We start from the raw sequence: 12,306 nt of genomic DNA, 5'->3' as shown, positions 1-12,306 counted from the left end.
TTTAAGGTCTTCTCTATGCTGTTTATTCTAGTTAGCCATTCATCTAATCTTTTTTCAAGGTTTTTAGCTGCTTTGCGATGGGGTCAAACATCCTCATTTAACTTGGAGAAGTTTGTTATTATCGATCGTCTGAAGCCTTCTTCTCTCAACTCACATCGATGCAAAAATCCTCAATAAAATACTGTCAAACCAAATCCAGCAGTACATCAAAAAGCTTATCCACCATGATCAAGTTGGCTTCATCCCTGGGATGCAAGGCTGGTTCAACATATGCAAATCAATAAACGTAACCCATCATATCAACAGAACCAAACTATTGATTATCTCAATAGATGCAGAAAAGGCCTTTGACAAAATTAAACAGTGCTTCATGCTGAAAACTCTCAATAAACTAGGTATTGATGGGACATATCTCAAAATAATAAGAGCTATTTATGACAAACCCACAGCCAATATCATACTGAATGGGCAAAAACTGGAAGCATTCCCTTTGAAAACTGGCACAAGATAGGGATGCCCTCTCTCACCACTCCTATTCAACATACTGTTGGAACTTCCGGCCAAGGCAATCAGGGAGGAGAAAGAAATAAAGGGTATTCAATTAGGAAAAGAGGAAGTCAAATTGTCCCTGTTTGCAGATGACATGATTGTATATTTGGAAAACCCCATCATCTCAGCCCAAAATCTCCCTAAGCTGATAAGCAACTTCAGCAAAGTCTCAGGATACAAAATCGATGTGCAAAAATCACAAGCATTCCTGTACACCAATAACAGACAAACAGAGAGCCAAATCATGAGTGAACTCCCATTCACAATTGCTTCAAAGAGAATAAAATACCTAGGAATCCAACTTACAAGGGATGTGAACGACCTCTTCAAGGAGAACTACAAACCACTGCTCAACAAAATAAAAGAAGACACAAACAAATGGAAGAACATTCCATGCTCATGGATAGGAAGAATCAATATTGTGAAAATGACCATACAGCCCAAAGTAATTTATAGATTCAGTACCAACCCCATCAAGCTACCAGTGACTTTCTTCACAGATTTGGAGAAAAACTACTTTAAAGTTCATATGGAACCAAAAAAGAGCCCACATTGCCAAGACAATCCTAAGCCAAAAGAACAAAGCTGGAGGCATCACGCTACCTGAATTCAAGCTATACTACAAGGCTACAGTAACCAAAACAGCATGGTACTTGTACCAAAACAGAGATATAGACCAATGGAACAGAACAGAGCCCTCAGAAATAACACCACACGTCTACAACCATCTGATCTTTGATGAACCTAACAAAAACAAGCAATGGGGAAAGGATTCCCTATTTAATAAACGGTGCTGGGAAAACTGTCTAGCCGTATGTAGAAAGCTGAAACTGGATCCCTTCCTTACACCTTATACAAAAATTAATTCAAGATGGATTAAAGACTTAAATGTTAGACCTAAAACCATAAAAACCCTAGAAGAAAACCTAGGCAATACCATTCAGGACATAGGCATGGGCAAAGACTTCATGACTAAAACACCAAAGGCAATGTCAACAAAAGCCAAAATTAACAAATGGGACCTAATTAAACTAAAGAGCTTCTGCACAGCAAAAGAAACTACCATCAGAGTGAACAGGCAACCTACAGAATGGGAGAAAATTTTTACAATCTATCCATCTGACAAAGGGCTAATATCCAGAATCTACAAAGAACTTAAACAAATTTACAAGAAAAAATCAAACAACCCCATCAAAAAGTGGGCGAAGGATATGGACAGATACTTCTCAAAAGAAGACATTTATGCAGCCAACAGACACATGAAAAAATGCTTATCATCACTGGTCATCAGAGAAATGCAAATCAAAACCACAATGAGATACTATCTCACACCAGTTAGAATGGCAATCATTAAAAAGTCAGGAAACAACAGGTGCTGGAGAGGATGTGGAGAAATAGGAACACTTTTACACTGTTGGTGGGACTGTAAACTAATTCAACCATTGTGGAAGACAGTGTGGCAATTCCTCAAGGATCTAGAACTAGAAATACCATTTGACCCAGTCATCCCATTACTGGGTGTATACCCAAAGAATTATAAATCATGCTGCTATAAAGACACATGAACACGTATGTTTATTGCAGCACTATTCACAATAGCAAAGACTTGGAACCAACCCAAATGTCCAACAATGATAGGCTGGATTAAGAAAATGTGGCACATATACACCATGGAATACTATGCAGCCATAAAAAAGGATGAGTTCATGTCCTTTGTAGGGACATAGGTGAAGCTGGAAACCATCATTCTGAGCAAACTATCACAAGGATAGAAAACCAAACACCACATGTTCTCAGTCACAGGTGGGAATTGAACAATGAAAACACTTGGACACAGGGTGGGGAACATCACACACTGGGGCCTGTTGTGGAGTGGGGGGAGGGGGGAGGGATAGCATTAGGAGACATTCCTAATGTAAATGACAAGTTAATGGGTGCAACACACCAACATGGCACATGCATACATATGTAACAAACCTTTACATTGTGCACATGTACCCTAGAACTTAAAGTATAATAATTAAAAAAAAAAACTGGTGGGGAGTGAAGGAAGAGATTCATATCATAGAAAAGTGGTATGGAAAGTATTTTTCTTCATGAAAAGAATTCATAAAATATCATCTTTGTGGGAATTAGAAACAGTATCCTGCTAGAAGAACCAATTTTTAAAATGTGTCCCTTCCTTGGACTGACAGACCCATACCAGAGAAAATAACTTTGCCAAGGATGCTGGCTAGGGGTTTCAGTCCCACTTTCATCCCCTTGGCCAAACATCTTTGTGCAGGGAACAACACACACCATTGTGCACAGAGTCCCTACTTGATCCCATGCACATCTGTGACACATTCATTGTTCTTCCCATCACCAAACACAAGGAAACTAGGAGAGTCCATCCCAGTGAAACCCTCACCTTTGCCCAGATTGCAATGATTTTATCAGAACATCTTAAGACTTAGGCATTAAGGAAATCCAGGTTTACAGTGGAATTGGCATGAACATGAAAATTTCCTGACCTACTTTTAAAGCACCTAACGTAGATGATGTTTGCTTAACAGCTCTTCACAGTCCTCAGCCCTCACATGTATCCCCCTTTTCTCAGGCATTTGTTCTGCAAAGCAACTCACACAACTCTGTCTGTTTGGGAGAGCTGTTCCATTCAAGCACCTTGGGATATTGCTGGCATAGTGTGCCACATACGCCACCTTCCATAGCACAGAGCTATAGCTCAGGACCTAGATGGCGAGCTTTGCCTTGACCATGTGGTCTACACATGCCATCAGGAGTGTCTTTTTTAATGTGTGAAATGTGTTGTTTGTGGGAGGCTGCACATCCCCTTTTGCCAGCTGCTTGCCTCTTTGAGATCGCTTTCTCAGCAGTTCAGACGGGCTGGTCCCATAAATCACAGAGAGGAGAAGGGTTAGAGGATAGAAGGAAACAAGACATGTGGCATATGGAATTTGTCCAGAACCACTCAGGTGCCTGCTAGTTACAGTGTTGGAGCTCGCTCACTCTCTCTCATATCTACGAGACTAATTTACCCTTCTGTTATTGTTATTATTTGTTCTGGGAAGTTTTCGTTTTACTAGAACATCTGGCACTATAGTTTCACACCCTGGGGTTTCCTGGAAACACTCTCAGGGAGGAGTTCGAACCTTTGCTACCGGAACTCGCCCGGGCCTGAAATGTGGTGAGCTATCATCTCAGCCCACGTCACGTTCTCTCTCTTGTTTCCTTTGCAAAACATCATTACAATCAGTGCCACTGTTTTTCAATGAGAGATGCTGGCACCAAGCCCAGAGACGGCTGTGCAGACCTTGTCCTGCCAAGAGTGGAGATAACGTGGGCCTGATACAAAGCCCTCTGACCACACCTCTGGGTAACTCCTACGCTGAAGCACAGCCTGGCCTCCCAGATGAGCTCAGAGTGCCAAGCCCAGGAGCAGGCTGGGTGTGAACCAGGTCCCACCCTGGGAGCCCTGGTCCTCGTCACATTGTTAACCACAAGACCTACCCGCCTGTCCTAATTTCTACAGGAGAGCCTCAGGGCCCCTTTCAGTTTTGAAAGGCACATGAAAAATGTGACATGGGAGTCACTGGAAGGGCCCCGTCTCCCTTCCCTCTTCTCATGGAGTCTCTCCCTCTCCTTTCTGTCCTTGCCTCAGCTATGTTGTCTGCAGCAACTGTTTGCAGAAATTCTCTTCCCCAGCATCTTCAGAGGCTGGCTTCTTGACCTAAGACTGCAGTGTCAATGTCACCTTTCCTAAAAAGCCTTCCTTCTCTGATCCCCTAGGTGAAAAGGGCCACTGAGCAGCTCCAGCACTTCAGTCCTTTAATTATCTGCATGGTACTAATCACAATCTTAGAGTTTGCTCCTAGGTTTGCCTCTTGGATTTTTACCTGACCTTACCTGCTAGAGGGGGAGCCTGTCTTGTTCACCTAGAATAAATGCCTTGCACTGTGAAAGGACAATAAATCTTGGGATTCCAAAACCACTAAGCCAAAGGGAAAAGTCAAGCTGGGAACTGCTTAGGGCAAACCTACCTCACATTCTGTTCCTGAAAAAGCTACTAAATTAAAAAATAATAATAAAATAAAACAAAATAAAATAATTTTTTAAAAAAACCTACATACCTTCCTCACAAGGAATTTCCTTGTGTACAAAGGACAGACAGAACTCAAAGTCATTCCTCTTCTCACCAAGATAAATGCAAATCTGACTGCCTCCTTTCAAGAGGCTAATCAGAACCTCAAAAGAATGCAACCATTTGTCTCTTACCTACCTATGTCCTGGAAGCCCCCTCCCCGCTTTGAGTTGTCTCACCTTTCTGGACAGAACCAATGTACTTCTTACATATATCGATTGATGTCTTACATCTCCCTAAAATGTATAAAACCAAGCTGTGCCCCAACCACCTTGAGCACATGTCATTAGGACCTCCTGAGGCTGTGTCATGGGCATGCGTCCTTTGGCAAAATAAACTTCCTAAATTAACTGAGACCTCTCTCTGATATTTGGGGTTCATACCACATAGAAGGTACCGAATTAACATTTGTTAAAAACATACTGGCCCGACTCCTTACTAGTGTGATCTTGGGAAAGTTAACATTTGTGTCTCAGCTTCTTATCTTAAAAATAGAACTAATTATAGTGCCTAATTCCTGGGATTGTTGAGATAATTAGACAAAGTAATTCTTGTGCCGTCCTTAGCAGAGTGCCTATACAAAGTGAGCGCTCAACAAGTATTAGCTATTATCATTAGCAACATGTTAACCCATTTGCACTTGGTCACCTCCCAGTGCTCACTAGTTTCCAGCTTAGCTGGTCCTGAAGGAGTGGAGAGGAGCCCAGAGCACGGGCAAGGCCAGGCCTTTGAAGGCACCACAGGGAAGTGTGGAAGAAAGAAATGCACCAAAAATGAATGCCTCCTATTTCTCAAATAAGGACTACTCCTTTCAAAAGGGTTATTTCTTTCCCCCTTTTCCTTCTCCCCCTTCCCTGCCAATACCACACAACTGAACCTGGCCCTACACTTGTTACAAGCAGCAGGGGCTGAAGGTCACTGATACTCTATAGACACGTGGCTCAGCCCTCCAGCTGGGCTGGGGACGAGTGACTGTTCTTCCTAGCTGTGTCACCTAAAAGTAGGGCAGACAAAGATGTCCGATAAGTCACATGATTCAACCTCAGCTATGACAGGAAGAGGAGGAAGGTCAGTTGGCTTTGGTTGTAACCATGGTCCAATATGGATTCAAACCCATGACATGGTTAATATGTCCTGCACCAGGCACACAAGGCCATTTTGCCTGAGGATTTGGCATTCACTAGGAGATGGTTTATGTAGCTACTCAAAGGGAATAAAGAGACTGATTTTCACAAGGAAAAGAGACCCTGTGCTCCTCTAGAGCAGAGACTATCTCTTGATCATACCTTCCCTCTGCCCACAGTCCCCAACAGAGTGGGCACTGCCAGCTACTCGTCTTCCCAAACCAGCCAGTTGCTTTTAGCCCCCCATCAGGATCATGTGGATGTTCTTAAACGCTGATCCACACTCACCACCTGGTGTGTCAATGACCAGGTGGGGGTCATCTCACGGCCACTGACACTGAGCTCTCCCTCTTTATTACCACCCAGGCAGGTGCTGGGCTTAGTAATGATGCAGTCTCTCTGGGTCAGTCTGGTATCTCCATCAAGTTGTGGATCTTACTTTGTCCACATTGTGATGCCTCCTGCCCTGGAAAAGGTAAATCCCGGCTGGGCAAACATCCATCTACCTAACAAGAGAGAGAGGAGAAGACTGCAGACCTCAAGAAGTTCTTGGCAGCTTGGCCCTGCAGAAGACATAGAGGTTTGTCAGGTCTTAGTTTAGGTTCCTCCATAAACCAACCCTGAGACCAGGATTTAGGTGCAAGTGTTTCTGTGGAGGTGACCAGAATGCACAATGACTGAGCTGGAAGTTGAGATAGGGAAGGGAAGCGAGCCAATTAAGGAGTATAAATGAGAAACTTGCAATTGCAGACAGCCAGGACTCAGTCCTACTGGGACCCTCTTAGGGACTGTGCAGCACACATCTCAGAATTGATCACTGTGTCCCTTATTGGCTGAGCGAGGCTCCTGGAGTATTGATTCCCCAGCACTTCAAGTCTGTTCCCAGGAAGCACAGCCAGAGAATATTCTCATCCAGGGAGCCGAGGAAGCCATTGTGCCTGTACAGGAGCTGTCTATGAATGATGTCCACCATAGACTAAGGGGACTTGGGCCGGGCGCCAACAACTCCTGCTACATCTAATGACAGATAGTGAGCTTGTTAGAACAGTGCCCCATGGGTAGAGGTGTTTTAGAATATCTCAGATTTTTGTTAACTTCCTAGAAACCCTCTCGAAAAATCCTTAAATAGACACAGTTACATAAATGAGCCTCTTCATGATTTCTTTGAAAGAATGATTCATGTGCATGAAACAAAGCCTTCCCCACTTGTGGCTTGGGTTTTGCCCTTCCTGGAATCTTAATCCAGGGCCTCCAAAGCTTTGAGTAGGAAGTTCAGACACTGGGAGGAGGTCAGATCTCACCATTTTTCCATGGAGACCAGGCAGGAAAAGAGACAGAGTAGTCTGTTTTGCAGTGCTTTGAAGTTCAGATGAAAAGCCCAGCAGGGAGGCACACACACCCTTCCCCAAAGTATGGGTGTGCAGTGGGGAGCTCAGGAACTGGTGGAATAAACTGGATTCTACTGAGAAAATATAATCTCTCCCCCCAGGTGCCCTTCCACCACCCATCTAGACACGCCTACTTTCAAAAGCCCTGGGCAGAACAGGCTTACTTTGAACAACAGAACCATATCAGGGAAAATTTCCTGGAATTCAGACATGGAAAAACTCACCCAACTACCATGTGATACCTTGATCCATGAAGCTCCCACTCCCCGCAGGCACTGTTAACCCCTATAGGGCCTTTCAATAATATCCTCATTCAACTAAATGTCACATTGGTCTTTGCCAACAAAGAGGAATTTTCCACATGCTTTGCTGCCTCTGTTACATTCTTGAAAACGGCAGGTGATTCTGCATGGAAGGTTCCAAGAAGGAAGAAACGTCTCCTTATTCCCAGGCTACAGCCCACATTGAAGGTCCACCATTGAACAAAAAGATGGGAGTAGGTCAAGAAGTTTTCTGCAACTACAGCTTTAGAATAAAAATTGCTGATAAACAGTTCACCCAGGTGATGGTGAGAGGGTCACAAGGTAGACAACAAGGAAGTCAGAGTCCTGTGTTCCTGTTGACTCTTACTGATTTTGTGGCCTTGGATGAATCATTTGACCTATCAAGACTTGTAAATTGATGAGTCACTTAGGAATAGTAAATACAGTCAGCTTTTAGAACACTGCCCTCTACCTAGAACAGAACCTCAGCAACTACAACTGTGCCATAGCCCCTAGAAGAGTCCCTTGCATGCAATATAGGCACTCAATATTTGGTGACTGAATGAATGAGTGAATGTGGTAAACATGTCTACTGCTCTGACTCCTGCACCCAGGGCAGACATTACTAATCAACTGTGACTGTTTTTCATGCAAAAAGTAGATGCAGTGTCAGAATTCTGCTTAGCATAACTCTCCAGACAGGCACAACCAATCTATTAGAGATCACATGTGAAATGTTATCTATTTGCCGTTCCTGAATGAGCTCTAGTATTTTTCCACATTAAACTTTCCTAGTAAGGGAAATACTAAAAGATAGATGGATTGTCACTCAGAGAAAATAAACACAATTGAATATTTCGATCTTGTTTGTCTGCATAAGAATCGATATTTTTTCATCCTGACTAGTGCAGAAAATGCATTTGTTCAGTGAAGACTCCATAATATCAGGCTACTTGGAGTTCTTGCAGCCAAACCCACATTCCTAGAGCCCTGTGGGAGCCATTCAATTTCTCACCCCAATCATGTAGAAGAAAATTGGCTCCAAGGCATATCCCCATCCTGGCAATTAGACACCTCTGGTCAGTGTTAACTCTAGGAGGGTCTAATGTCTGGGATCTGGTTTGTCATCTGAGGGCCATACTCCCTACCAAGTTCACATTGGTGAAATATCAAGGACAACAATAAAAGGAAAAAGAAGCTACAGAGAGGCAATAGAGAGTGAGATAGGAAGAGGGGATTTTCAACACAGAAATCTTCAATGTTTTTAGCCCTCACTGGCTGAGCTGCCTGGAAATAGTTGGTAGCATTAATCCATTGTCTTTTGTGGAAGGCTGTGTAACAGCTTGATGGGTTCATCTTGCTTCTGATTAGACAGAGTGAATTTATCAAGACAGGGGAATTGCTAAAGAGAAAGAGTTTAATTCATACAGAGCTGGCTGAACAGAAGATTGCAGTTTTATTCAGCCTCCATGAAAATTTAGAGGCTAGGATTTTTAAAAGATAGTTTGGCAGGCAGGGGCCTAGGGAATGGGGAATACTGATTGGTCAGGTCAGGGATGGAATCACAGGGAGTCAAAGCTGTCCTCTTGCACTGAGTTTGTTCCCAGGTGGGGACCATGAGATGAGCCAGTTTACTGGTCTGGGTGGCACCAGCTGATCCATCAGAATACAGAGTCTGAAAAATATCTCAAACACCAATCTTTATGATAGTGATGCCATCTATAGGAGCAACTGGGGTGATTAGTGATCTTGTGGCCTGTAGCTACAAGACTCCTGAACCATAATCTCTAATCTTGTCACTAATTGTTGGTTTTACAAAGGCAACCTGGTCTCCAAGTGATATGGTTAGGCTTCGAGTCCCCACCCAAATCTCATCTTGTATTGTAATCCCCAGGTGTTGAGGGAGAGACCTGGTGGGAGGTAATTGGATCATGGGGGTGGTTTCCTCTTTGCTGTTCTCATGACAGGGAGTTCTCACAAGATCTCATGGTTTTATAAATTGCAGTTTCCCCTGGGCTTTTCACTCTCCCACCTGCCGCCATGTAAGACATGCCTGCTTTCCCCTTTTGCCATGATTGTAAGTTTCCTGAGGCCTCTCCAGCCATGCAGAACTGTGAGTCAATTAAACTGCTTTCCTTTATAAATTACCCAGTCTCAGGTAGTATCTTTATAGCATTGTGAAAACAGACTAATACACCAAGCAAGGAGAGAGTTTGTTTGGGGAGAGGCTGTTATCATCTTTGTTTCAAAGTTAAACTATAAACTAAATTCCTTTCAAAGTTAGCTTGGCCTACCCCGGGAATAAACAAAGGCAGCTTGGAGTTTAAAGGCAAGATGGAGTCAGTTAGGTCAGGTCTCTTTCACTGTCTTAATTTTCTCACTGTTACAATTTTTGCAAAGGAGGTTTCATCTGAATGACTATCTTGGGCACAAATATTAAAGCCCACCAAATGGCTTTTGGAACATCATCAAAAGAAAAGTATGAAGTTGCCAATCTTCACATTTGAACAGAGCTGTGAATATCTTGGGGATAGCTGATGACTCATGCTCCTCTGCACAGTGCTCACCTAAGCAAGCTATAACCACCCGATGGGTTCTTCCTGCCTGCTGCACAAACAAAATCAACTTACCAAGACCATGGCATTGCAGTAAAGAAAGAGTTCAATTGACATGAGGAGACAGTTATTACTCAAATCAATCTCCCCAAGTGCTCATAGGTTAGGGTTTTTTTCAAAGATAATTTGGTGTGCAAGGGGCTAGGGTAGGGGGCATGCTGATTGGCTGGGTCAGAGAGGAAATCATAAGAACTGAAGCTGTCCTATTGTGGCTGAGTCAGTTCCTGGGTGGGGGCCACAGGACTGGTTGGCAGGTCCAGGTGGGGCCGTCCCATTGTTAGAAATGCAAAAACCTGAAAAGACATCTCAAAAGGCCAGTCCTAGGTTCTACAATAGTGATGTTATCTGCAAGAGTAATTGGGGAAGTTGCAAATCTTATGAGCTGCAGGATAATGGCTGGTAATTCTAGCCCTTTTCATCCCCCTAACTTGGTGGCCCTTTCATTAGTTTTACAAGAACAGTTTAGTTCTGTGGAAGGGCTATTATCATTTAAACTATAAATTTCTCCCAAAGTCAGCTTGGCCCACACCCAGGAATGAGCAAAGACAACCACCCTGTAAGGCTAGAAACAAGATGGAATGAGCCATGTCAGATTTCTCTCACCATCATAATTTTGCAAAGGCAGTTTCAAAGCCATGGCCGGGCCCTTCTCTCCCATTGTTTGTTGCAATCAGCACCACAGTCTTGCCCGGTCACTTGCCTGACATCTACACTGATTGCCATAAGCTAAATTAACTGTCTGCTTTTCTGTATGAGGAGAACAAATGAAGTGGATCACTGTGCCCCTACATATGCAAAACACTGAGGAACAGATATTTTCTCTGGCCAAAACATCAGTTTTCAATATGTTAATCTACTGTTCATTGTCTTCCAGGCTTGAGTCTGAGGAAATAAATCTAGAAATCTCTGGGCATGAAAAGAAATGGAATAGGTTTGAATCCTTAGCAAGTGACTTTAGTTGGGGGTAAAGGATGAAACTTTATTTGTCCCAATAATTGCCAAAGCATGTTACTCATGCTGGTTTCAATTAAAATCCCAAGGGCAGTGAGTTAGTAAATTAGTGGATTTAACAAGAGCCTCAGGAACTAAGAATCAGAGGAGTTGTTATGGAAGGAAGGGCAGGGGGCCTTCAGTTAATAGCTCCCCCAGTGCTGAAAGGCCACACCCTCAAGAACCGCCCTGCTGGGGAGAGACCCAGGGCAATTCACCAGGCCCTATCAGTTTAACATAGAACCACACTGTCTTGACTAATGTGAAGTTTCCTCTGAAAGGAAACATATGAGATAAAATGCTAACTTGTCCAGCTTGTTTAAGTACAGATAGTCTTAACAAAAGAAAACTCTTGGTTAGCACCGTTTTGGGCACATTTTGCTCCTATCTATGGCAGACAGAGCTTACTGCCCACCAAAGATTTTGTTCCCCTCTGTAATGCAGGTCTTTTCTTGGGAAGCGGCTGCCCAGCCAGAGTCTACTCAATGATTGAAAAGTCACAGAACTTGTCATAAAGGCACAGAGTCTTCAATTAATGCTCACTCAGTTCAAGAATTGCTCCTGTTGCAAAAGGGAGCCCATAGAGAAATGTGAATGGAACAGATGTGGTTAAAACGTAGATAGGAGGCCAGGCTTGGTGACACCCAGTGCTGTGGGAGGCGGAGGCGGGAGGATTGCTTGAAGCCACGAGTTTGAAACCAGCCTCAGCAACATAGGGAGACCCAGTCCCTACAAAACATAAAATAAAAAATGGGCCAAGCTAGGTGGTACACACCTGTTGCCCTGACTACTCAGGAGGCTAAGGCAAAAGGATTGCTTGAGCCCAGGAATTCAAGACTGCAGTGAGCCATGATTGCACCATTGCACTCCAGCCTGGGCAACAAAGCGAGACTCTGTCTCTAAAAATAAATAAATAATTAATTAAATACTTTTTAAAAGTAGGTATGCCTTCTCTCCTTCCTTGCTGCTCCCCTATTTGCTGGCTGATATTGTTGACAGTGAAATATTGAAAGTCATACGTTGAAGACAGCACTGTCAACCTGGATCTCTGAATGATTACCTGAAGTAGAGCTGCCTCGCTTCCAGCCAGACAAGAAACTCCTGCATTTGACTGTTATGTGAGAAAGACAGTGTTTGTATGAAATCACCGGGGTTTGTTCGTTATAGAAGGTAGGTTGCTCTAACCAACCCACTGTCCTTAACCAGATGATTCTCAAAGCAAACAACAGCACACGT

The 12,306-nt window shown here is 43.5% G+C and overlaps 1 annotated feature.

The window, feature by feature from the left end:
- Nucleotides 6,477-7,676: an enhancer, noted in NCBI's record as "CDK7 strongly-dependent group 2 enhancer chr14:56270173-56271372 (GRCh37/hg19 assembly coordinates)". NCBI's record gives its function as "activates an origin of replication core promoter dependent on BRD2, BRD4, P300/CBP, MED14 and CDK7 cofactors, with strong dependence on CDK7, by STARR-seq in HCT116 cells {active_cell/tissue: HCT116}" and the evidence as "EXISTENCE:reporter gene assay evidence [ECO:0000049][PMID:35650434]".

Source organism: Homo sapiens, chromosome 14, assembly GCF_000001405.40.
Source record: "Homo sapiens chromosome 14, GRCh38.p14 Primary Assembly".
NCBI lineage: Eukaryota > Metazoa > Chordata > Mammalia > Primates > Hominidae > Homo > Homo sapiens.
This window is presented reverse-complemented; position numbering and strand designations above follow the sequence as displayed.